This window comes from Homo sapiens, chromosome 5, assembly GCF_000001405.40.
Source record: "Homo sapiens chromosome 5, GRCh38.p14 Primary Assembly".
Taxonomy (NCBI): domain Eukaryota; kingdom Metazoa; phylum Chordata; class Mammalia; order Primates; family Hominidae; genus Homo; species Homo sapiens.
This window is the reverse complement of record NC_000005.10, coordinates 175,656,208-175,679,234: the sequence shown is the minus strand read 5'-3', so window position 1 is coordinate 175,679,234 and position 23,027 is coordinate 175,656,208. Positions and strand designations below refer to the sequence as shown.

The window sequence follows — 23,027 nt, the reverse complement described above, 5'->3', positions numbered from 1 at the left end:
GAGTCCTTGGTGATTCACCATGAGAATGTGTCTCCCCGGGAACTGAATTGTGGTGAGACACAAAATACCACTTTTCTCTTCTATCCTTCCATCTGGTGGTGAAGAAGATGAGGGCTTGGAGGGTGAAGATTTCCACAGAAAGAGGTAGAACTTGGCAGACAGCCCCAGGTCTGCCTGATGCCACAGCCTCCCTCTCACTGCCCCCAACTCATGAAACCCCAGAAGAAATGCCACTGGTATGCATGCAGTTAGAAAACCAGAGGGGCGAGACCATCTAGAAAAGCAACCAAGCTGGTGACTGGGATGTGCTCCCCCTCCACGTTTATGAAATCAAGTCCAATACTTTCTTTTCCCTCTTCAGCGGGAAGTGAGACACCTTTTGCTGTTTAAGTACTTAAACCCCAGACACAGCCCTGTGGGAGCCTGGCAATTGCACACAAGCGGCCAACAATTTGGGGGAATCAGTTAAGGCTTGATTGGGCTTCTCACTCGGCCTGAAAGATAAATCTGATTTTCCAGGCAATAATGTACAACAGGAAAAGAAAATCCTGCATCCACGCAGCGACCGCTGTGCCCGACGCCCCTTCTGGGCGAGCGTCACGGCAACCCTGTGAAGTAGGTGGTTTGATCCTTACTCTACAGAACGGACACTGTGAGGAGTCAAGGGGAGCCGCCGGGCTGAAAGCAAGGACTTGGACATTGGACAGATCTGGGTTCTAATTCCAGCGCTGTTGCTGAAATAGCTTTGTGACCTTGGGCACGTGACTTCCAACTCTCTGAGCCTCAGTTTTCTCATGTGTAAAATGGTGATGCTACTACCTTCTCTTTCACTAGACGGCTGTGAAATGAAGGCAGTAAAGGGACGGAAAAGCCTTAGTGCCCGGCACGTGGTAGGTTCTTACCAATAACACTTTTGTCATTGGCTAAAGCTGCATGGTCAGCAAATAGCATTCATGTGCATGACACATACCGAGCAGCTTCCGGGTGAAGACACTGTGCTGGGGACTGGGCTACAGCAGTGGGCACAGCAGACACATCTGGAGCCCCCATCACAGGGGTGGGAGGAGACAACATCCGGGACCTACTGTGGAGCTGCTTATTTATGGCAGCCGTGCTAAGAGTTATATAAAGGGAAATAGCACCGCCAGAATGTATCACGGTGTAGGTACGAAAGGCTTCCCCAAGGAAGCGATATTCGAGTTGAGATCGGTACAGATGGGAACAAGGTAACTGGGTGAACATGGGACCAGCTGATTCCAGAGAGAACAGCCACGGTGAACGTTTGGAGGAGAAAGATGGTGGGTTGTAGCCCAAGAACCCTGAGACGCCTCCGGCAGGTGGAGGGGAAGTTCGAGCAGAGGGTGATGTGATTGGAAGGCGGGAAAAGTGGCGCAGGGTCCCTGACCTCCTGCTGCAGATCAGGATTCGAGGGTGTGGCAGCTGGGGGTGGGCCGGAGCAGGTGGCTGCCCGGCACCGCCCAGTTCCTCATTCTCATGAGCTATTCGTTCTCAGAACTTTTCCCCTGTCATCGACCACTTCAAATGTTCCAGGTGCCTCCTGAGGGTATCAGGAAGTGGCCCCAGCATCAGCACCCAAGGAGCAGCCCAAAATGGGCTGGGAGGGGTTATTTTGGGGTTGCAAGGAAGCAGGGAGTTATTTTAGTGTTGCAAGGAAGACAAGCCTCTCCAAGCCCAGAGTGGCTGCCCCGATACGAGCTGCGGACCAACGTGGCTTCAGCCCAGACAGTCAGAGCTGAAATGATCCCTGGCCTTCCCAGGGAGCCCTTTCTTCCCACTTAACATGGCAGAACAGCTTCATTTAAGAAATGCTGACCGATACATCGAAAAGATACCTGAGCTCATGTTTTTCACAGCACTATTCACAGTAGCTAAGATATGGAATCAACCTACATGTCCATCAGTGAATGACTGCATAAAGAAAAAGTAACAGGGCGCAGTGATTCACACCTGCAGTCCCAGCATTTTGGGAGGCTGAGGTGGGAGAATTGGCCAGGAATTTGAGACCAGCCTGGGCAACGTAGTGAGACCCTATATCTACAAAAAGTTTAAAAATTAGCTGGGCATAGTTGTGCACGCCTGTAGGGCAGGCTACTCGGGAGGCCGAGGTGGGAAGATCGCTTGAGCCCAGGGGTTCAAGGCTGCAGTGAACTGAGATCATGCCACTGCACTCCAGCCTGGGCAACTGAGTGAGAACCTGCCTCAAAAAAGAAAGAGAGAAAGAAAAGAAAAGGAAAAAAGAAACAGAAACAGTGGTATACAGACACACACAAAATGGAATACCATTCAGCCATAAAAAAGAATGAAATCTTGTCTTTTGCAATATTTGACTTTCTGTGTCTGCCTTGTTTTAGTTAAAATAATATCCTCCAGTGCAACTGGAGTCAAATATTGCACGTTCTCACTCAGCAGTGGATGGTAAAAAATGTGTACACATGGACTTAGCACACAGAATGCCAGGCAATGGAGACTCTGAAGGGTGAGGAGGTGGGTGATAAGAAATTACTTAATAAGTACGATATACATTATTTGGGTGATAGATATGATAAGCCTTGACCACTATGCAATCTATGTACGTTACATAATTGCACTTGTACTCTATAAATTTATACAAATTTTAAAAAACCTGGAAAAAACTGCTGACGGCCCATTATGTGCTAGGAGTTTGGGCTCCTTCTTGCCTTTGCCCAGGAGCCGGAGACGAGCCCTGGGGCAGGGGCTGGGGATACACAGGAACAGGGTGTGGTGGTCCCAATCCTCTAGAAGTTCAGACACAGGAAGAGATGGCTAATAAGAGCTGTGGGTGGAGGCCACACAGGTGTGGGAACTGGGACACTGGAGCTTTGGCTCTGAGGGCGGTAGCAAGCAACAGCTCTGTGTGTGTGCACGTGCGGGCGTGGATGTGCGCATACCAGAGTGTGTACTCCGGCACACACATACCTATTTGTGGAAGGAAGCATTTTCTTGGGTCTGGAAAACCCCGTTAATGTTAAAATCACTCAGACTACTGACCCAGCAGTTGCACTTCTAGGAGTCTGTCCTGTGATTCCCCAAAGCACTGCTTGTGTAGGCAAAGTCTGGGAAGTGTAAACGTGCACGTGACAGAACGTGGTGAAGCCGTCCAAAAGACTTAGATTGTCTGGGCTGATGGGGGGGCCTCCAAAAGTGTGCCGATGCTGAGTGTGATATGCACAAGGGAGAACACACGTGTGCGTACCCACGCATCTACACATGTTAACACTGGTCAAGGAGTGGCTCAGGAGGGCGGCAGTGAGAGGGTAGGGATGGCTGCCTCCAGGGAGGAAATGGGAGCTGGGACAGGATGGGAGAAAGGCTTCTTTTTCACCATGTGTCTCTTGGGACCTTTTCAATCTTTCCACCTTGTGTATGTATCACCTACTCAAAACCTAATAGATGTAGAGTTTGACAGGTGGAGAATGGAAGGAGAAGGGTATGCTGAGCAGAGGGAACAACACACAAAGGAATGGAAGCTGGAGGACTAGCTCATGCTTAGGAGTGAGACAGGGCCATATGGCTGAGATGGGCTCCAGGCTAGGGTTGGGTGAGGGTTGATGCTTGGTCCACTCAGTCCAGATGCCCCTTTATAAAAAGTCCTCTACCTCCAAGCTCATAGCCCTCAGGGCCCATCCTCTCCTCTCAATCATTGCACAGGTTTTGCAGTCCAACTGTCCTGGTCTTTGAGCATGCCACGGCCTTCCAATTCCCCTCCTGTTGTTAGGATAAAAATGGCAATGCCTGCTATGCCCTGTGTGATTGGCCCCCGCCAACCTCTTCAGCTAGTTCTCAACAGGAAAATGTAGCTGGGGATGGAGTGCTTGGGAGTTTGGACTTAGTTCTGAAGATAATAAGGAGTCATTGAAGGTTCAATCATCAGCCGTAAGATCACCCAGGGAACTGGTAGCAGATATGGGACCCCATATCTCTTGATTTCAACCCATGAGAATGATACTACTACAAATTGGCATATAAAGAATGCTTACTTCATGACAGGCCTGCCATTATCTCATTTAATCTTTACCACAACAATGTGAGGCAAGAGATTTTTCTTTTCCCCATTTTACAAACACAGACGCTGAGGCTTAGCAAAATTAAGGAAATTGTCCAAAGTTTCAAAAACAGTAAGTGGCAAAGTCAGGATTTGAACCGAGGTCTGTCAGCCTCCAGAGTCCCTGTTCTCGGCCTCCACATATTTGGCTTTGCAGGTGGAGAAAGGACTTTGGGCTTTTAAAAGAGATGGCATGATTGCAGTTGTATCAACAGCACAAGACACTTCCGCCCTTGTGATAACATACAAACATCTTGCATCTTTGTGGTTGCAGGTGTCTAACTCCTTCCTGGCAGGACATTTGGTCAAAGCCCATAGGCAGGAAAAGACTTCTGGCTGTGGCTGTTCCTTGGAGAGAAAGCCCCCAGCTTCCCAGGAGCTTGAGTCCTGCCCCTTTATTTCTTCTCAGTCAGGAGGGGTGCAAAGGCATGACTTGTTCTTGCTTCTGTCTTCAAGCATGTCTTGTCCCAAGCTCTGCAGCCCCCAGCGGGACCCCTCTGCACAGGCTGAAAAGTGAATGGATCTGAATGTTGTCTGGAATTTGGAATTGGGGGCAGGTTCTGTAACTGGTGTTGTTGGCACAGACTGGGAAGAGTCTCACTACCCCCGAGACGTGTGTCCTCCAGCTCAGCGCTAGATGGTGGGGTCAGAGTGGACACTTTATGATGATGAGTGTCATCCCCTAGGCATCATAGTGAGGGAGAGGGGGACCTGGACTTGAAGCAAGGACCCTGGCCACTTCCATTTCCCGAGCACCTACCACGTGCCGGGCACCTGACAGATGATAATAATAGTATCTGCATAGCGAGATTGTCATGTTCCCATTTGATAGATGGTGAAACTGAGGTTTGGAAAGCTCACTTGTCTGGGGCCACACAGCCAGTAAAGAGGCAGGCAGGGCTTTGAACGTCCATATCCCCAGACCCCCCCTGCCGCAGAAGGCATGAAACCAGCCTCGGCACTGATTTGTGTGACCAGTTCTTGTGTGATGTTTCCTTATCAGTGAGAGACTCACACCATTTGCTTGGCCTCTGCCAACAGCGGATGTGGGAACCTGAAGCTGCCATCTGATGACAAAATTCCTTAGTTTTTGTTTGTATGGGAAAAGCTTTATTTATCTTTCACATTGAAAAAGAAAATTGAGGTGGCTGGGTGTGGTGGCTCACGTCTGTAATCCTAGCACTTTAGGAGGCAGAGGCGGGTGGATCACCTGAGGTCAGGAGTTCGAGACCAGCCTGGCCAACATGGCAAAACTCTGTCTGTACTAAAAATATAAAAATTAGCAGGGCGTGGTGGCGGGCATCTGTAATCCAAGCTACTCGGGACGCTGAGGCAAGAGAATGGCTTAAACCCAGGGGGGCGGAGGTTGCATTGAGCGGAGATTGCGCCACTGCACTCCAGCCTGGGTGATACAGCGAGACTCCGTCAAAAAAAAAAAAAACAAAAAAAAAAAACTGAGGTGAAATTCACATAACATACAATGCACCGTGTTACAGTGTACAGTGTTGGGGAGCATTCAGTACCTTCACCATGTTGTGCAACCACCACCTCTCTCTGGTTCCAAAACATTTTCATCACCCCAGAAGCAGTCCTTGTTCCCATTGTCAGTCGCTCCTGCTTCCTCCCTTTCCCTAGCCCCTGGCAGCCGCCGACCTGCTTTCTGTCTCTGTAGACTTGTCTTTTCTGCATATTGTGGGCACAAAGTGGATATAAATCATGAAGTGAGGGGCTAGAAAAGGACCCCTGATTCTTTTTTCTAACCTGCTCCTCCCCAGCCTCCAAACACCTGGTTGCTCAGGCTAAACACTTAGGCATTCTTCTTGATTCCCATCTTTCCTTCATCTCTGACATCCAACCCATCAGCAAACCCTGTCTGCCTGTGAAACGCGCACATGCATACACACACGCACACACACACATCTACTCTCCTTTGCAGCTGCCCCCGTCCTAGTCCTAGTTCGAGCCATCACCCTCTCTTGCCTGAAGTTTTGAGACAGGTCCTGACCAGCCTCCCTGCTGCTGGCGCTTGAATCACTAGCACCTGCCTGCTTCTACCTCACCAGTTTTGTCCTGTTACACGCTCTTACCACTGGCTCAGAAGGCCCCTTATGATCGGCATCCCCTGCAACCTGCTCCATCTCCTCTTTTACCACCCGAGGCCTCAGTGGGTGCACACTGGCCCCCCTAACCTTGCTCTTATTCCTCGGATACTACACACCTGCTCCTCCCCAGAGCTTGGTCTGTGACCTGCTGATGACCTGGACATTCCCGTCTCAGTACACACATCAGCTCTGCCGAGGGGCCTCCTGGACCCCTCCAAGGCAGCTCAATTCACCCTCTTTAACATCCCCCACCCCACATGGCCCTCCTAGCATTTCGTGTGTTTCTCTATTGGTTCACTATTTGTGTCTCCCCACTGGAATGAGAGCTTGGCGAGGGTCAGGATCCAGGGTCCAGGATCCACTCCACCTTGCTCCCCAACAGGCACATAATGGGGGATCTGTTAACACTCAGTTGGCTAAACGCACTTGAAAATAACCATCGTAACAATATCATATCCCATTTATTGGGTACTTTGAAAGTGTCAGGTAATCTTTGAAATATTTTACGTACATTATCCCATTTAATCTCTTCAACAACCCTATTATGTGGGTACCACTATTCATCTCTATCTTATAGATAAGAAAATTAAGGTTTATGATGTTTTGTGACTTGGCCAAAGTCCTCCATCCGCAGTGGGCTGGCGAGCGTGGCAGAGGCCTGGGGAGGGAGTTTTCAGGGCAGGGGTGAGATGGGATGGCTGAAGAGTCTGCCTTGGTTCTTGGGGAGGTGAGATGTGGATCGCCAATGTTTTCAGAGAAGCCCACATCCCTGCCACCCAGGGGCAAAACTGCTCAGGGGCAGGAGCTGGGGTGGGAAGAACACTGGGCTGGGAATCCGGATCCTGAGTTTGTGTCTCTGGTGTGAATCTGACTTGCTGTGTTACCTCAAGCAAGTTTCATATCCTCAGTTTCCTCAGCAGAAAATTGTGGAGATGGGCTTAGAATATTTCAAAGGTCTCTTCCAGCAACTGTGTGTGTGTGTGGAGGGGTGAAGGGAAGGAATCATGAGCCCTCCATAGTAAAATAGGAGAGCTCTGGGTGGAAACAAAACACAGTGCTCCTCATGTTCAGGAACCCCTTCTGTAGCACCCCAGAGAGGCAGTCATCCCGGCTCTCCTTGCCCACCTCCATCGATGCGGGGCTTACTATCTTACAAAGTGTTTGCCAATGAGTCACAGCCATTTAAGGACATTTACAGAGCTCTACACCCTCTTTCTTTTGGAGGTCATACCTCACTGCATAATAAATACATTGCAATTTATGCACTTTCCAAAGAAAATATAATTTGTATATGGCTATTTGACTTAGGCAGCTGACTTTGACCAGCTGGCATAATGTTACATTTGCGGATGTTCAATTGAACATTTAATACTTGCAATTTTGTGGGTTTCTTTTTGTATTTTATACCTGGCACTTTGTATGTATGTATGTGTGTTTGCAAAGTTTTTTGTGTGTCTCTGAAAAGCTCTGAGGTTCAGAGAAGAAGTCCAAATTCCTTTTTCTAGGCTGGCTGTGACCACCATCATCACCATCACCTCCACCATCAGTAGCAGCTGTGGCCACATGAACTGGATACCAGCACTGCCACTGACAACACTGTCTCTTCCTCCCTCTCTATTCTCTCCCCCAGCCTCATTCCTTGGAGGTTTTGCCCTTCTGCCAAGGTACAACTTTCTCTTACAGGCAGAAGTCCTGCAACCAGCTGGGTCACCTTAAAGATATCAGCAGCAAACAGATAACACTTGCCAGGAACATTTATACCCGTTGATTATCTTATGCAACCTCTGCTCTTCTGAGAAAAACCAAGCCCATGCGGTGCCCCACAAACCCTTGGGCAATCCACCTGGCTCCTGGGAACTTTCTAATATGAGTTCCCAACTTCTCTTTTCCTCACTCAGAGGCTTCTGTGCACAGAACTGTCCTCCAGTTCCCCAAAGCACTGCCCCATCCCCACGCAGCACTCTCAACAGACATTAGACGTCTGGTTATACATTCTTGGCATCCTGTACTTCCAACATGGCACTTAGCATACCTTGTTATTAACCCCATGTGCGCCATTCTTTCTTTCTCTGTTGGCCCCTGCCGGGTGAGTATAAGCGCCACAGGGCAGGGCCCATGTCTGTGTGCCCACTACTGCATTCAGATGAGGCTTGTTAAGCATTGTTACAGGCCCAAATCTGGATATGGCCTGGCAAAGCAAATCAAGAACCAGCCCAGGCAGCTGTCTGCCTGGAAGGGATTTTCATCATCCTGATGTGGCCAGTCTTTGGCCAGCAATGAGGGTAGGGATTAGGATTAATCATGTAGACTCTCCAAGGGTCTCTGGTGGGCTCAAGAGTCTTGAGGGTTCTGCCCCAGGCAGGTGGTTGCATTTGCAGCCTGGCTGTGGCGGTGCTCTCAGGCACACTGCTGGTCCGAGGGGAGGCTGTGGGATTTCTGAATCATCTATTAGTAGGACCGAGGACAGGAAATAGCCTAGTGGTCACTGTGAGTGGAAGAGTCCCTGTCCAGCATTTCAGATGGATGGCCAGGCTACCTCTCCTTGATTACCTCCAAAGATGGGGAGGTCATTTCCTTCAAACAACATGTGTCTCCCCTAGTTTCAAAATTTTTGGACAGCAAAGATGGAATCAATGGCCACAGGCTGAATTCAGTCTACTGAGGAGTGCTGTTGGGTTCAAACAATGTTTATCAATTTTTTTTAAGAAGCAACATTTAACAATCAGGAGATTTCATGTAAAAAGTCTAGATTTCCAGTTACTTTAAAAAAAAAATTTTCTTTGAGGCAGGGTCTCACTATGTTGCCCAGGCTGGTCTTGGACTGCTGGGCTCAAGAGATCCTTCTGCTTTGGCTCCCTGAGTAGCTGGGATTACAGGCCTGGCTCCAATTACTCTTGAAAAACAGCCCTGGCCCTCGTTCCCACCTGTCCCCTTTGGATTGGAGCCTGGTGCTAGAAGCCTGACCAGACACAGGCCCACCAGGGAGTGACACCGAGCAGTGATGCCCCCTGCCTGGCCTCAGAAGCATCAGAGTTTGTCACCCCGAGGGGGCTGCTCCTGGGTTAGTAAAATTTGGGCTCCTTGGAAAAGCAGCATCAAGTCACAGAAGTGTCCAGTCTTCCTGTTCTCTTCAGTCCATGAACGGTAAAGGCAGGATTCCTTTAGTGGAGCTCTAGTGCTCTTTGAAAGCATTAAAAGGGACCTTGCTTGGATCCTGATGTGAACATAATCGTGGGACAAAGGCATCTTGAAGCAATCAGGGAAACTTGAATGCGAATCGGGTGTTAGGTTATGTTAAGGAATTGTGTTCCTTCTGTCATTCTGTTAGCTGCAGCAATGGGAGGGTGCCATGTGCTCGTCAGTTAGAAATAAACACAAACACTGAAGCTAGGCACCGTGGCCCACGTCTGTAATCCCAGCACTTCGGGAGGCCGAGGTGGGTGGATCGCTTGAGGTCAGGAGTTTGAAACCAGCCTGGCCAACATAGTGAAACCCCATCTCTACTAAAAATACAAGAACTAGCCGGGTGTGCTGGTGTGTGCCTGTAATGCCAGCTACTCAGGAGGCTGAGGCAGGAGAATCACTTGAACCTGGCAGGCGGAGGTTGCAGTGAGCCGAGATTGCACCACTGCACTCCAGCCTGGGCGACAGAGTGAGGCTCTGTCTCAAAAAAAAAAAAAAAAAGAAAGAAAGAAATTCTTACAAGCACAGTTCCAGGATGCCTTGGATTTTCTTTAAAATATTCACATGAACGAACAAAAAATATTATACGGTGGCAGGGATGAAAGACGATTGGCAAAATGCTGAAAATAGTGAGGCTGGGAAAAGGGGATGTGGGGTTCATCATTCTCTCCTCTCTGTGTCTCTTTGGAACCTCAAAAACAAATGCATTTAACAAAGCAGGGGCCAGGTGCTGTGGCTCAGGCCTGTAATCCCAGCACTTTGGAAGGCCGAGGCAGGAGGATCGCTTGGGCCCAGGAGGTGGAGGCTACACTCAGTCATGACTGTGCCACTGCACTCCAGCCTGAGCTGGAGGAGACCCCATCTCACAAAACAAAACAAAAACCAAAGCAGGGACCTCCTGAGGAACTGCACGATTGATTCTTTGTGGACATTGTCACACTTTGTTCCGTGATTCTGCACTGAGTGAGTCCTGCCCTCAACATCCCTTCCATGCTGGGGAGCTCCCCTCTCCCCTGCTTCTCCCACCCTCTTTCTGGATTTGGACAACTCTGCCATGACCTTGCTGCCCTTCCCTAAGAGTCTTTGAGTGCCTGTCACCCTCGCTCTGCTTCTGGGAGCACGCGATTGTTCCTGGACAGCCTGCAGAATGGCTGGACTCCTCCTCACTGACCAGCCTGGGCCCTTCCTCCTAGCCGGCCCCTCACCGCGACTCTCATCTCAGTCTCCAGGACCTGATGAAGAAAGGCATCCTTCACAGCAGCTGCAGTGAGTTCTAGTTCAGCTCTGCTGCTACCAGTTAGTCAATTTTGGCCAGATGACTTTGCTTTGAGCCTCAATTTCCCTTACTTGTAAAATGGGGCTAATAACCCAGCCTCACAATGGAGTTGACACGTGTATGGGGTCAAGATCAAGACCCTTCTAGAGCCAACTTCCTGAGTAATATTCCCCTGCACCCCCACCCTGCGAGCAACAGCTGGGGGGGTCTCTGCCTCAGAATTCTCAACTGGAGGAAGGAAATCCCTGCAGTCCCCCGCTGTCTGACTGCTGTGCGGAGTCAGTGGGTAAATGTGTGCCAAGCCCCAGCACTCACTACTTTGTTCACACACCGTGAGCATAAATAGCGCACATGTGTGATGCACAAGCCCACACCACAGTGCTTGGCCCACACTGGCACCTGCCTTCCTCCAGCTCCCCAGGTGCCTGTGCCCTGCCCTGGTCCTTCCCCTTCCAGAACCTCATCCCCACACAGTCCCAGCCCTGGAGCACCAAACCATGGCTTTTCAGCACCTGGCCCCTGCTTTGTTAAATGCATTTGTTTTTGAGGTTTCAAAGAGACACAGCAGTAGAGAGGAGAGAATGATGAACCCCACATCCCCTTTTTCCAGCCTATTTTCAGCATTGTGCCAATCGTCTTGCATCCCCGCCACCACTTAATATTTTTTGTTTGTTCATGTGAATATTTTAAAGAAAATCCAAGTAGGTGGCCCACTTTCTAGGGATGCTCACTCTGCCCAATTAGAAATATACAGAACAACTGTAGGTATAACTGTATTCTCGACAATAGGCAATATTGGGAATGACCTATATGTTCAAAACTAGAAGAATGGTTAAATTATGTCACAACAAAATTACTACAGCTGTTACTATCACTTCTTGGAAACTATGAAATAATGAGGGGAAATGCTTATATTTAAGTCAAAAAATAGCAGGATTCAAATTGTAAGGAGACAATGATTATAACTATGAACTCCTAATCTGTTAACTTACAGGGGATGTGGGGGGACAGCCAAAACCAAATGTATGCCTGGTAGGACAGACTGGATGGTATTAGTGGTTTTCTTTGGGTGGTCGTACTGGTTATTTTGTCTTCTTTGCACATTTCTTTGGCTTTTCCTTTTCTTTTTTTGGGGGGTGGGGGGAGGGACGGAGTTTTGCTCTTGTCACCCAGGCTGGAGTGCAATGGTGCAATCTTGGCTCACTGCAACCTTCACCTCCCAGGTTCAAGCGATTCTCCTGGCTTAGCCTCCTGAGTAGCTGCGATTACAGGCACCTGCCACCACGCCCAGCTAATTTTTGTATTTTTAGTAGAGATGAGTTTTCACCACGTTGGCCAGACTGGTCGCGAACTCCTGACCTCAGGTGATCTGCCTGCCTCAGCCTCCCAAAATGCTGGAATTACAGACATGAGCCACCGCACCCAGCCAGCACATTTCTTTATTCAAAGTTTTCTACATTGAGAGTTAAGTCTACAGTGACTAAAAAACAACACGTAAGGTACAAAATAGTATGTATAATATATTCCCCTTTGGGCCAAAAATAAGACTATACATTACATATATATATATATGCCTTTATTTGCAAAAAGAAAACCTGGGAGAATAAACCACAACAAATGAACAAAAGAAACCCCTTCTATTTTTTGAGCAGGGATTGGACAGACGGTGGCCAGGGTGCAGTGAGGCCTTTCATTGTGTACCCTGTAGATTGTACTTTTGAACCACATGAAGGTCTTATCTACTCAAAAAGGGAAAAGAAAAAACAACCATTTAATCAGTCTTTAGAAGAAGGCAGTATGGTCCCAAATGAGCTCTGTGGATATTTGTTAAAGGTGCTACTTCAAAAAAAGGAATCTGGAGGCCGGGCGCAGTGGCTCATGTCTGTAATCCCAGTGCTTTGGGAGGCAAGGCGGGTGGATCGCTTGAGCCCAGGAGTTCAAGCCCAGCCTGGGCAATATGGTGAAACCTTGTCTCTACAAAAAAAATACAAAAACTTAGCAGGGTGTGGTGCTGCATGTATGTAGTCCCAGCTACTTGGGAGGCTGAGGTGAGGAGGATCCCCTGAGCTGGGGAGGTCGAGGCTGCTGTGAGCTGAGATTGCACCACTGCACTCCAGCCTCAGTGACGGAGTGAGACTCTATCTCAAAAACCAAAAAAGGAATCTGCGCCTGAGTTCAAGGGTGAGTCACATCAACTGGGGTCTCTGTTGCAGACTTAACTGAACTCGTCATCCTGTGCTGTGACTGAGAGGGGCTGGGGGTGGCAGGGCTTCCAGAGAGCCCAATGACGCCCCAGATCCCACCTCCACAGAGCCTTCTCTGAGACTGTCGCTTCCAGGAACACAGTCTGGGGACTGCAGGGCAAGAAACTCCCACACTGGCTCAGCCTCTAGGTAGCAGGGCAGAGACAGGGATGAGGCTGGTCCTGGGGTCTCAGATCCCAGGGCCTCAGGGCTCAGGCAGGCAGGTGAAATGTGGCAGGCTGCACCCACAGTGGGGGTGCAGTGCCCAGCTGGATGGGGAGCCACTACACAGCTGTGGCCACTATGGGCTCAGTGCCATCAGAGCTCCACATTCTCCAGAAGCTGGAAATCTGGATGTTCAGTAAAATCTTCTGGGTTTGAAATAAAATGTCCTAACTTTTCAATGAAATCTCATTTAAAACTGTTGGCTCTTTTTTTTTTCCCAAAAATATCTTGTGGTCTCTGCAAAAGTCCTCTGCCAGCTGCCATCTATGATCTTGGCATGTTCCTGGTGTTCTTGGAGAGCCAGGTCGGTTTCCAGGATTTCCTTCTTCCTTTTCTAACCACTCTTGCCCATTTTATAATCGCTTTGAGAGCTTGGCCTCAGTTGACATCACATTCACTGGTCAATTGTTTGGGGGAATCTGCCTTCTGCCTGTTTGACAATCAGACTGACAGGCACCCATCTCTGGCCCTGGGAGTGTGGTAAGGTGTTGAGAACTTTCTAGCTCTAGCAATGGGCTTTCTCAGGGCAGCGAGTGCTCTGTGCCTGGAAGCAACAGTCAGTGGTCTTGTAGCCAGGACCCCTGCTCTGGGTTCTAACAGCCCTCTGATGCCAAGCAGGGATGCCCCTCCTGCCCACTCCAGCCTCAGTTTCCCCTCCCATCTTGCCATTCACACCCTCTGTGCTCCAGGCATCCAGGGCCTCTCACTGTTTCTTTAACTCTCTTTAATTCTCACACTTCTGTGCTTGTGCATATCCAGATCCTGGGTCCGGACCTCCCTCTCCCGCTGCCTCTACTCCCCCTCTCCAGCCACCTGGAAAATGCCATGCTCAAATGCCAGCTCCTGCAGCTCCTGTACCTCCTCGGTCGTAGCAGGAACCCCGGGAGGCTGGCATCAGCTGTTCCTGTGTCATTCATTACTTAGATTCCTTCCTTTCCTTCAACCCATACCCCCTTCAGATGATTCTACCTCTCAGCTTTGAAGCTGTCCCTTCCTCTCCAGCTGCAGAGTACTGGCCTTCATCCCTGCACAAGACGAAGAAAAAGAGCCAGGCCATCCTGATTAAGTTCCTGGCCTCCTGCTCTCTCCTCAGCCCCACCCTCCTCCGCACTGTCTGGAGAAAAGGCATTTTAGAAAATGCAAACCGGATCGCCTCTATCCTCAGCTGAAAATCCTTTTGTGCGGGCCGTGTGCGGTGGCTCACGCCTGTAATCCCAGCACGTTGAGAGGCCACGGCAAGAAGATCTCTTGAGCCCAGGAGTTTGAGACCAGCCTGGGCAACATAGCGAGCCCCTGCCTCTACAAAGAAAAAAATAAAGCAGCATGCATGGTGGTGGGGCTCTCCTGTAGCCTCAGCTACTTGGGAGGCTGAGGTGGGAGGACTGCTTGAGCCCAGCAGGTCGAGGCTGCAGTGAGCCGTGAATTCGCCACTGCACTCCGGTTTGGGTGACAGAAAAAAAAAATCCTGCCGTGGCTCCCACTGCCTACAGGACAAAATCCAAACACCTCAGCTTGATGCTGAAGACTTTTCAAGGTCTGCGCCGCTGATTCCTCTACTGCCTGCCCCCACTGCCCTGGGGTCTCAGGTCAAGCCTAATCATCCTGAATGCCCTGAACACCCCTGGACATTTTGCAGCTCTGTTTCCTTGTGCACGCCCTTTCTACATCTGGAATACCCAGACGCTCTGTGTCTATCTGCTGCATTCCCATGCACCTGTCTGCTTTCCACACTATGCTGGAATCTTATCAGGTGTATCCATTGCTGTATCTTCAGTGCACTGCCCAGGACTGAGCACAAGCAGGGCCCCAGGAAGCATTTGGTGAGTGACTGAATGTGTGAATGAATGGCCCTCATGTTAACAGAGGCTTTGGCTGTTAGATCATTCTCCCAGGAAAAATGGGCAATTCTAGAGCCCAAGGTGGCCAAAGTGTCCAGTCCTTGCTGGAGCTGGAGGTGTTTGCAATCCTCCCTCCTGTTCTTGGAGGTTGGGTGGCAGGTCAAAGCTGCCACACGCTCCTGCAGACTGTCCCCATGGGGCTGGCAATAATCAGCCACACTGCCTGCTCTAGTCCGTGACCAACTTGGCTCCAGCCACACTTCTCTCACAGCAATGGCGCCAGGCCCGCACCCTCCTGGCATTGCTGTCACACGGCATCAGATAGGGGCAGAGCTGGAAAGGCCCTTTGCAATCAGCCAGTCCCACTTCTTCTGGTTTTCAGATGGGGCAGCTGAGGCTCAGAGAGGGGAGGTGGCTTGCCCAGGGTCACACAGTAGTCAAAGGTGTAGTCACACCTGGAGTTCTTCAAGATCTTATCAAACAGGAAAATACGATCAAAGAAAACTTGAAGTGTGCTAGAGGGGGGCTGGAGAAGTGTCCTTGAGACTGGGAGGACAGGGAGGGCCTCTCTGGGGCTGATCCTTGAACTGCTGTGCAAAGGGCAAGCTGGGCAGAGGAACTGGCAACTACAAAGGGCCGGTGGGGAACGAGCTGGCCCTTTTGAGGCTTTGGCTAGAGCCGAGTGAGGAGAAATGCAGACAGTGCACGGGCAGGGCCTGATGGAGGGCGCCTGATAGATTTCTATGGAGTTAGCATTTCAGTCCAAGTAAGGGAGTGACGCATTGAAGTTTAAAAGGTGACTCTGATCTGAATAGACAGTTCTCCAAAGAAGATACACAAATGGCCAACAAGCACACTGAAGGATGCTCAAAGTCATTAGCCCTCAGGGAAATGTAAACCGAAACCACAATGACACGACTTCACACCCACAAGGATGGCTAGAATCCAAAAGACCTAAGAAGCTTTGGAAAGGACTGGGACCTCCGTGCACTGCTGGTGGGAATGTAAGACAGTGCAACCTCTTTGGAAACAGTTTGGCAATTCCTCAAACAGGCGCCAAGTCAAAGCTGCATCACCATGTGATCCAGCCATTCTACTCCGAGGCATATATTCAAGAGAAATGAAAATATATGTCTCCCCAAAAGCCTACATGCAAACGTTCACAGCAACATTATTCATTATAGCCCCAAAGCAGAAACAACCCAAATGCCCATCAACTGATGAATGAAGAAAATGTGGTCTATCCATATAATGGAATATTATTTAGCCATAACAAGGCATGAAGCGCTGATACATGCAACAACATGGATGAACCTTAAAAACATGCTAGGTGTAAGAAATCAGTCACAAAACCTATTGTATGATTCAGTTTTTGTGAAATGTCCAGAATAGGCAAACCTATAGCGAGGGAAAGTAGACCTGTGGTTGCTGAGCCTTGAGTGGGAGTGGGGAGTGGATAGAGGGTGAGTGCTAATGTGGACAGGTTTCTTTTGGGGATAGTGAAAATGGTCTGAAATCACATAGTGGTGATGGCTGCACAACTCTGTGTGAATATCCTAAAAATTATGGACTTGTCATTTGAATTGGTGACTTTTATAGTATATGAATTATGTCTCTATAACGCTCTGCTCTTACGTTAAAAAAGAAGACCACCTTTGTTGCTTGAGGGGTGGGGGCAGAGGGGAAGCAGGGAGGCCAGGTGGCCAATAGAGCAACCTCAGGCTCAAAGGACCAGTGCTTTGAAGGCCCTTGGTAAACACCTGTGGCTACCTGAACCAGCTGATCCCTGGTCAGGAATGCTCTTCTCTTCCAGCCCAGGGTTTCTTAACCTCGGCACTATTGACATTTGGGACAGGATAATTTTTTGTTATGAGGGCTGTCCCGTGTATTGTGGGAAGTTTAGTAGCATCTCTGACGTCTACCCACTAGACGCCAGCACTCCCCCTCCCCAAGTTGTGAAAATCAAAAATAGCTCCAGATGTTGACAAATGTCTTCCAAGGGGCAAAAATGTCTCCAGTTGAGAACCATCTTTCCAACCTCCCTGGCTCACCTGGTGAATTCCTGCTTATCCTTCCTGATCTATTTCAAATATTATCCCCTCTGGGCAGTCTTCACCCTGCATCCTCTGAGGCCCCACAGTTTCCTAAACACCCCCTATCAAAGCCCTGAGGACCCTGCTTACACACCACTCTCGCCACACCCCACTGTCTGTAAGCTCCCTGTAGCAATGGCTTTTATTTATTTATTTATTTATTTATTTTTTGAGACAGAGTCTCACTGTCACCCAGGCTGGAGTGCAGTGGCACAATCTTGGCTCACTGCAACCTCCGCCTCCTGAGTTCAAGAGATTCTCCTGCCTCAGCCTCCCGAGTAGCTGGGACTACAGGCGCCTGCCATCACGCCTGGCTAATTTTTGTGTATTTTTAGTAGAGACAGGGTTTCACCATATTAGCCAGGCTGGTCTCGAACTCCTCACCTTGTGATCCTCCCGCCTCGGCCTCCTAAAGTGCTGGGATTACAGGCGTGAGCCACTGTGTCCAGCCTGAGATGGCATCTTTTATATGCCTAGGTCCCCAGTATCTGGCACAAACCCTTGCACTTTGGAGGTCATTGTGCCATTTCTTCACCTCTATAGTGCAGAGATGCATTGCTTTTTACAGCATCTCTGTGATCCCTGATTAAATGTTGGTTGATTGAATCTGTCAGCCCTTCCTGACCCTGATTAGGAGTGTAGGCCGTGGATTTAGATGGCCAGTGTTCGAATTCTGTTAGATACTGGGCAAGTGGCTGAACGCATGTTACTCTTAGTTTCCAATCTGAAAGTGAGACCCATAGGGTTATCATGGGAACATAGTAAGAATACAACAAACAACAGATATTATTGATATTAATAATTTCGTATTTCTTCTAAGGGGCCTGCCAGGCCTTGACATAGAGGTGCCCCTATTACTGACAAGCCTTCATGTGCCAGCCCCATCCTGGGTGCTGGCAAGGAGGAGACATCCTGTGTGCTGGCAACATCATCCCCATCTTTAAGGAGCCCTGGGGGAGGAGCATACCTGTAAACTGTGGGGTCCTAGAAGATCTGGTTTGAATGGAATCTTGAAGGATGAGTAGGATGGGGTTGCTAAGCAAAGGAGGGCATTGCAGGCAAGAGAAATTCCAAGTGGGAAGTTTGGAGGTGGGCAAGAACATAGTTAATTCAGCCAGCTGGATGTGGATTGTTGTAGGTGGACCAGCAGAGGGTGGGTGGGTGGGGTAGCTGGAGGCGATAAGGCTGGCCAGAGACTAAACCATCATGAGCCATGTATGCCAGTCTAAGGACTTTGGTCTTGATCCATTTGGTAATGAGGAGTCTTGGAATATTTTTGAGCAGGGGAGGAGTAGTCTCAGATCTGTATTACCAAATTGACAATAGGATAAAGGATGTATCAGAATTGGAGGGGACAAGATAAGAGACAAGAAGATGGTGAAAACTTCAATCTGGAAAACACTACTTGAACCCTTTTAGAGGCAATTCAGTCTATATTGTAGGCCTGAGACAGGGCACACTCAGATACGTGGCACCCATTTTACTGAACCGTAAGTTACCTTTTTTTCAATCAGGCACCCTCCTCCCTGCTCTCAGAACTCGAAGCCAGGTAGTCCACTAATTATTAAAGAACATGCTCATTGCATAAAATCTGGAAAGTCAAGAAAAAGTAGTCAGGGAACAAATCTCCCACAACCCCACCATCCATGGGCAAACACTGTTAACCCTCTTTAGCCTATTTCCTTCCAGTCTTTTTTCTAAGCTCTTGCCACATATTTGGGACCCTGCCATCTGTATGCCAATGCAAAACATGTTTCCATTCATTAAAAACTCTCAACTTTTGGTGGTCACATGGGCGTTCCATAATTTTGATTCCCTACTGTTGGACATTTAGGCACTTTCTGACTGTTGATGAATATCTCTGCACGTGAAAGAGGCTTTGTGCATATCTCCATCCTTTCATTTGGATGATCTCCTCTTCTTTAAAACATTTTTTGGCAAAGGAACCTCTCTAGCCTGCTGGGACACCCTTTTCCCCATCATCAGGGATTTCTTCCTCTAGTCTGAATTAAACCCTTGGGATTGGAACTTAATCCTGTTTCCCTTACTTTGGGGTGTTGGCAGAGATGGACCACAGCTGGTCTTGTTTTTCCCACGGACGCATCGCCTGGGAGGGTCAGTAGTTAATCATCAGCCTAGGATGGAGAGTGGAATGTGCCTGTGAGCTCAGGAGAATCGGCCTAGGCTGAGATGAATAAAGACAAGGTTAACCGGGACAAGGTGATGGAGGAAGCAAAGAAATTGGTGGGCTGGGGTGAGTCAGTCTGATATCGGCTTCCTATGTAGTACTGAGTAGTGACCTTCCTTCCTTCCAGACCCTTAGAGAAATCCCTTGGCAAGAGTACCCCAACCCTGCTGCCAGGCTTCAGGCTCACTTTCTCCAGTGCTTTGTAGCAGTCCTTCCTATGACACATGGAACAAGAAGCCAGTGCTGATCGCGCACGTGCCAGGTGCCAGGCCCTGTGCTATGCCGCAACTTATACAGTCATATTTTGGGGCCAGCACGATACAACCAGAAGCACCCTGGAGGCGGGCAGACCTGGTTCCAGTCTCTGAACAGGCACTTCCTACCGGTGTGACCACATGGCAATCATTTACCTCTGGGAACCTCAGTTTCCTCATCTGTAAATTGGAATTTGATGGCACCAGTTTCCCAGGAGTGCTGTGGTGACTGTAACCAACGCCGTACTTGTAATGCACCGAGTACCAGGCCTGCAAGGAGCAGGTTCTCGAGATAAGTTATTTTCTCATGATATTGAATTCTCCTTATATCCTAGCTCAGATATAAGGAGAAAATGCCACCATCCAGACCCAGAGATGTCAAAAAACGTAATCTATCCAATTGCCTTGGATAACCTCCAGGGACAGGAAACTCATTAGTAGGTAGGAATTTATTAACTTCCTTTTATAAATAAGGAAACTGAGGTGCTGAGAGATTATGCCAGGAGTCTTCACAGGACAAAAACTGCCATCTGAGAGACGTCATGTCTTACAGGAGCATCAGCCTCAGGACAGGTGTGCAGTGGAGGCTGAAGCTTCTGGGCCCCCCACATTCCCTAGGCCCTGCCCTGCTTCATGCCCAGCCCGGCCACCACCCAGCTTCACCGATTGACCCTCTCTGGCAAAGGGCACAGAGGGGACCTGAGGCATACAAATGACTTCCCAAGAGGCAACCGCCTCCAGGACTGGGCCTATCTGATCTAGGGCATGACAGCTGCCACTGGGGGACACCACAGCACTTTCCTGCCCCACCTCTTTCGCCTCACAACACCTCATGGACGGGGTGGGGGATTAGCATGGCCCTGTTCATGGAGGAGGAAACTGAGGCTCTCAAGCTCAAGGTCACTGCCCAGATTGGGATTCCTATCAGAGGCCACTTGCTCTGCTCATCCCACAGGCAAATCCACGTCCAGATGTCCCCAGCAAGGACTCCCACCCGCTGAGCGCTGCCTGTTGTGGCTCCGGTCATCGGTCATCCGGCAGCGGGCGGCAGCCCAGCGGGATGAAGGCAGGTCGTTCTGGTTTCCTGAGACATAGAAGCCTCCTCCCCAGCAGCCCCCGCTCTCCGCTGGCTTCCCTTTAGCAGAAAGTTGCTCCATGCTCCGACAGACACATCGCCGCGAGAAAATGCCACCACCCAGACCCGGAGACAAAACGGGGACTGTTTCGGCGCAAGTGCACTTTCCAAATCCACCCTTCGCGGGCAAAGGGGATATAAAGCCGACCCGCGTCCCGAGCACTGCTGTGCACCGGGGCTGCATCCCGAGCTCTCAACGCCCCCTTGGGGAAGGCACGACCCCCGCGGTCACAGACAAGGAAACTGAGGCTCGCAGGCCAGGCGGAGGCACCTGCCCAAGGTCAGGCACAGCCAGGGAGCGGTGGGGCCGAGGCTCGAACCCGGGTTCGGGGCCACGACGGCCGCCGGGGATCCCGAGCAGCCCCTCGGGCGGCTCCGCCAGCCCACGCCGGGTCCCCAAGCCCGCCTGGGACCCCACCCCGAGCCGAGGCCCCGCGGGGAGGCGGCGGCCGCGTTACCTGGTGCTGCTGCCGCGGGTATTGGCTCCGCACCCGGTTCGCCTCGGTCCCGCGCCCGCGCCGGCTGCGCTCCGGGCAGGGATGCAGCGGGCGGCGCGCGCACGGCCTGCGCCCCGCGCCTCGCACCCACTTCCTCGTCTCCGCCCCCAACTCGCTCCTCCTTGCTCTCAACGCTCCTTCCCTTCCTTCCCTCTCCAAGTCTCTCTCTCTCTCTCTCTCTCTCAGCGCGCACACGCCCACATTTTCTCCCCCAGTCTCCCTCTCCCACGGTCTCACCCACTTTCTATTTTCCTTTCTCCTACACCCTCCCTCCTCATCTCGCCGACTCTGACACTTGCCCCTTCCTCTTCCTTTCTGCCACACTGCCCCCTCTTTCTCTCCCTTTTCTCCCTGGCTCCTTCCCTCTCCCCGCCCCGCAGATTGTGAGCCCGCCCTTGACCGGGCAACCGCCACCTGTGCAGATATTGGCTGAGTGGCCACAGCTGGAGGACCTGCCCCGGGTGGGCGCTAGACCCAGGAGGTCAGGTGACATCCCTCACATTGGGCGCCCAGGACCCAGCTAGAGTCAGGCTAGAAGGGGGAAATAGCTAGTTTTGAGGGAAAAGCTTGAATAATTCTGGAATCTGAAATCTAGAAACACAAATGCAGAAATTAATTAGTCCAGGGGTTATTAATCACAAAAAAAAAAAAAAAATCAGGAAACTTCAAAAACCCTACAGTGGCTTTGTTTTGGTTGAAGGAACGGATGAAGAGAGAGAAAAGTAAGGAAGTGGGCTTTGGGAAAAGGGGTTTTGGGGGTAGGGAGAATAACACCCACCTTCCAGATGAGAAAATGGAGGCTCAGATGGGAAAAGCCGTCTCCTAAATATCAAGATATCAAGGCCACTGTGCTAACCACACAGATCTCCGTGGAGGGAGCCTGGGTGGGCAGGATGGTGAGAGATTTTCGCCAGGCCTGGACAGCAGCCCAGTGCAGGGGAGGCAGGCGGTCAGCTGGGCTGCCCCGGTTTGCTTGGGGAGCCTGGTGTGTGGAGGGGGATTTCTGTGGAAGCTTGGCAAAGGATGGTGAAAGCGAGGAGGGTTCAGCTAGCATGCGTTTCAGACACATGCCACTGCTGATTGATGCACCACCTCAAGCCATTCTGTCACCATGGACCAGCCCTGTGCCAGGGGCTGCGATGCAGAGGATGAGGGGCCATGGTCCCCTAGGTCTCAGTTCACACCTTCTGGGGAGGCTATTATTGCACGTGCATCCAAGTCATTGTCATCTTGGAATGACAAGAGCCTCCGAACTGGTCTTCTGGATGCCTCTCTTGCTCACCTGCAATTCACAAAGCAGCTCAGAGAATCTCTGAAAAGTGTAAATTGGATCGTGCCTTTCTACTTCCCTGCTTCCAGACCTCCTGTGACTTCTTGCTGTAGTTCAGGTAAAATCCAAGTTCCTTGTCACTGCTAAGAGGCCCCACCCCACGTGGTTTGCAAGAGCCACCTGTCTGATCTCATCACTCACCACTCTTTACCTCTCTCTCTGCACCTCAACCACAGTGGCTTCCTCCCCGTTCCTGGAATAGGCCAAGCACACCATACCACAGGCCATTTGCACAGGTTGTTTCTTCTGCCAGGAAAGCTCTCCTCTGTTCCCATAGCTGCTTGAGCATCACCTCTCCAGTGAACCCACCCCTAACCAACTTATCTAAAGGAATCACCTTCTTGCCTATAGTGTTTTTCACAGAAGCCCCTTTTATTGTAATTAACACATTTATCACTGTCTAAAATTATTTTGTTTTCATTTTTCCTTTATTTTATTTATTTATTTATTTATTTATTTATTTATTTATTTATTTATTTATTTTTTGAGATGGAGTCTTGCTCTGTCGCCAGGCTGGAGTGCAGCAGTGTGATCTCAGCTCACTGCAACCTCTGCTTCCCAGGTTCAAGCAAATCTCCT

General features: G+C 50.0%; 1 protein-coding gene across 8 annotated transcripts in view, besides 1 other annotated feature; it reads right to left on the bottom strand.

Moving 5' to 3' along the window:
* Positions 1-21,164, bottom strand: part of HRH2 (histamine receptor H2) — a 52,686-nt gene extending 31,522 nt beyond the window's left edge. For 5 of the 8 annotated variants that reach the window (NR_160284.1, NR_171689.1, NM_001367711.1 and 2 more), the window contains exon 1: positions 21,080-21,164. The gene's annotated coding sequence lies outside the window, so the exon portion shown is untranslated. Of the gene's footprint in view, positions 1-18,543; positions 18,636-19,092; positions 19,230-21,079 lie in introns of all 8 variants that reach the window. The other 3 variants (NM_001393461.1, XM_011534549.4, NM_001393460.1) reach the window with 3 other exon arrangements.
* Positions 14,708-15,286: an enhancer, noted in NCBI's record as "H3K27ac-H3K4me1 hESC enhancer chr5:175090952-175091530 (GRCh37/hg19 assembly coordinates)". NCBI's record gives its function as "activates a minimal SCP1, AML or CMV promoter by ChIP-STARR-seq in primed H9 embryonic stem cells {active_cell/tissue: H9 hESC(primed)}" and the evidence as "EXISTENCE:reporter gene assay evidence [ECO:0000049][PMID:30033119]".
* Positions 21,165-23,027: the final 1,863 nt, after the last annotated feature.